This window comes from Homo sapiens, chromosome 10 (genome assembly GCF_000001405.40).
Source record: "Homo sapiens chromosome 10, GRCh38.p14 Primary Assembly".
Taxonomy (NCBI): Eukaryota; Metazoa; Chordata; class Mammalia; order Primates; family Hominidae; genus Homo; species Homo sapiens.
Window position 1 is genome coordinate 75,191,736 of NC_000010.11, and position 3,200 is coordinate 75,194,935.

Genomic DNA, 3,200 nt, shown 5'->3' on the forward strand with positions numbered 1-3,200 from the left:
GTCTTTTGGTTTGGAACAAAAGGTAAAGAATTCATAAATGCCACCAACTAAGCACCTGTTTCAAATAAAGCATCAGTATTCAGCTTGCAAAATAATTTCTTTATAATTAAGCAAACAGTGCCAAAAGACCCACGTCATTTGCTTCTTTCTTCCTGGAGAAGTGGGCAGGAATACTGCATCCTAGTGGACTCTCTGTGTTCAATCAAGTCCTGAGTTGAGTTTTGTTTCCCTTTCGAGATGACTATAAAATCACCTAAAGGTCAAGGAAAATGGTCTTCCTATGATAAGGAAGTTTTGCTTTAGTGTAGATGACCACTCTCCTGTGTAAGGTAGGGAGGGAGAATGTTCCGTTCCTTTCCTCTGCTACATATCTTCTTTCTTCTTCTGCATGAGATGAAAAAATTACTCTGCCTTCAGTCCAGCAGATGCACTCGGCTCCCCAGAGGTCAGCGCACCCCAAGCCCAGAGGCCGGCTGGCCTCGGCACGTCTCACTCCACTATCTTCCCTCCTCCCTGAACTCTGTTTACACAAGGCTGGTCTTGGCTCTGAGGCTGCTAGATTTTAAATGCAATCTCACTGGTGACTCACTGGTGCATCGTCATTTGGCTTTGCCTGGAATTAAGTGGAGCAATGCAAATGATTTTTACATTTTTCAATTGAGAAATCACAATTTTTTTTTTTTTGAGACAGGGACTTGGTCTGTCACCCAGGCTGGAGTACAGTGGTGCAATCATGGCTCACTGCAGCCTCAACTTCCTGGGATCAAGCAATCTTCCCACCTCGGCCTCCTGAGTAACTGGGGATACAGGTGCACACAACCACACACAGCTAATTTTTTTAAAATTTAATTTAATTTTTTTTTTTTGAGATAGAGTCTCGCTCTGTCGCCCAGGCTGGGGTGCAGTGGCGCAATCTCGGCTCACTGCAACCTCCGCTTCCTAGGTTGAAGTGATTCTCCTGCCTCAGCCTCCCGAGTAGCTGGGACTACAGGTGCACGCCACCATGCCCAGCTAATTTTTGTATTTGTAGGAGAGACGGGGTTTCACCATGTTGGCCAGGCAGGTCTTGATCTCCTGACCTCATGATCCACCTTCCTCGGCCTCCCAAAGTGCTGGGATTACGGGTGTGAGCCACTGCGCCCAGCCCACGCAGCTGATTTTTAAATTTTTTGTTGTTGTTGTTAGAGAAAGGGTCTCACTTTGTGGCCCAGTCTGGTTTCAAACTCTTGGGCTCAAGCGATCTCCCTGCCTTGGTCTCTCAAAGTGTTGGGATTACAGGCGTGAGCCACTGCACCCAGCCAGCAATCATATTTTTAGACATCTGCCTATGGCCCAGACAGAGTAACAGGGATGAGATTTACTCTTTTGCCTCATCAATGCCCCCTAATTTGTCACTGAGGCCCTAAATATGATCCTCCAGATGCGATATGGGTCTGGTGCTGAGGACAGCCAACCCGTGCTCTCCCTTGACCTGGACTGGGCATATATGGGTCATGACATGGCTGGGGATATGGGCTAAGCAACACCTGGGGGTCTATGTCTTATTTCATGCTTGTAATTTCATGAGGAGGTAGAACTTGAGCAGGCACTGTCTTGCGTAGGTTCCAATCGGGCCTTAGCTGACCTCTCCAGCCTGGTCTTGCTGGGTAACCTTCTCCCCTAATATCCCATCCATTGTCATTTTCATTCTTGCCATATTGTTTGCAGCTGGCTAAATATGTCTTGCAGTTGCAGTATCAGGCCCGAGCACCTTTCCTTCATGTGCTGCCCTTCTTCTCCCTGTCTGCCAAACACATTCTCCTTTTTTTGAGACAGACTCTCGCACTGTCACCCAGGCTGGGGTGCAGTTGGCACGATCTCGGCTCACTGCAACCTCCGCCTCCCCGGTTCAAGTGATTCTCCTGCCTCAGCCTCCCAAGTAGCTGGGACTACAGGTGCCCGCCACCACGCCCAGCTAATTTTTGTATTTATAGTAGAGACAGAGTTTCACCATGTTGGCCAGGCTGGTCTCGATCTCCTGACCTCGTGATCCACCCGCCTCAGCCTCCCAAAGTGCTGGTATTACAGGCGTGAGCCACTGTGCCTGGAGCATCCTCTCTTTTTTTAATAGCCCATGGTGCAACTAAATATATCCTCCTTTTTTTTTTTTTTTTGAGACTAGAGTTTCCCTGTGTCACCCAGGCTGGAATACAGTGGTGCTATCTTGGCTGTTGGCCAGACTGGTCTCAAACTCCTGACCTCAGGTGATCTGCCTGACTCAGCCTCCCAAAGTGCTGGGATTACAGGCGTGAGCCACCACGCCCGGCCTTATGGCCTCCCCACCCTTTTTTTTTTTTTTTTTTTGAGACTGAGTTTCGCTCCTGTTGCTCAGACGAGTGCAGTGGCACGATCTCTGCTCATTGCAACCTTCACCTCCCGGGCTCAAGTGATTCTCCTGCGTCAGCCTCCTGAGTAGCTGGGATTACAGGCACCCACGACCATGCCCGGCTAATTTTTTGTATTTTTAGTAAAGACGGAGTTTCACCATGTTGGCCAGGCTGGTCTCGAACTCCTAACCTCAGGTGATCTACCTGCCTCAGCCTCACAAAGTGTGGGTATTACAGGCGTGAGCCACCGCCCCCAGCCGTATCCCCCATTTTTAAGAATCCATTCAACGCTGAAGCCTTCATGAAGCTCCCTAGGTGAACTGACTCCTCTAACCCCACTGTCCTCTGTTCATACAGCTATCCTTGTACCTACAGCACTTTACAATACTTGCCCATTGTTCATGTCTGTCTCCCTTTCTAGACTGTGAGATTGTTGACTGTTACTTAGACCCCAGCACAGTGTCTGACACATTACTAGTTCCTTAATAAACATTCATAGAAAGGAGGGAGAAAGAATGTGTGTCACAAAATATGAAAGAATAGGGCCGGATCCCCAAACCCCCACCCCTGGAAGAACAGCCCATGCAAAAGCTAAGTATTTCTTTCCAGTGATGGGTACAATGATTTTTTTTTTTTTTTTTTTTTTTTATTGTTTTCCTTTCTTTTTTGAGACAGGATCTCCCTCTGTCATCCAGGCTGGAGTGCAGTGGCGTGATCATGGTTCACTGCAGCCTTGACCTCCTGGGACCAAGTGATCCTTTTCACCTCAGCCTCCCAAGTAGCTGGGATCATAGGCACATGGCCACAAAAAATAATTTGGTCTATTTTTTGTAG

General features: G+C 48.0%; 1 annotated feature.

The window, feature by feature from the left end:
- Nucleotides 2,135-2,335: a silencer, noted in NCBI's record as "peak1024 fragment used in MPRA reporter construct". NCBI's record gives its function as "represses an SCP1 promoter by STARR-seq MPRAs in K562 erythroleukemia cells {active_cell/tissue: K562}" and the evidence as "EXISTENCE:reporter gene assay evidence [ECO:0000049][PMID:32103011]".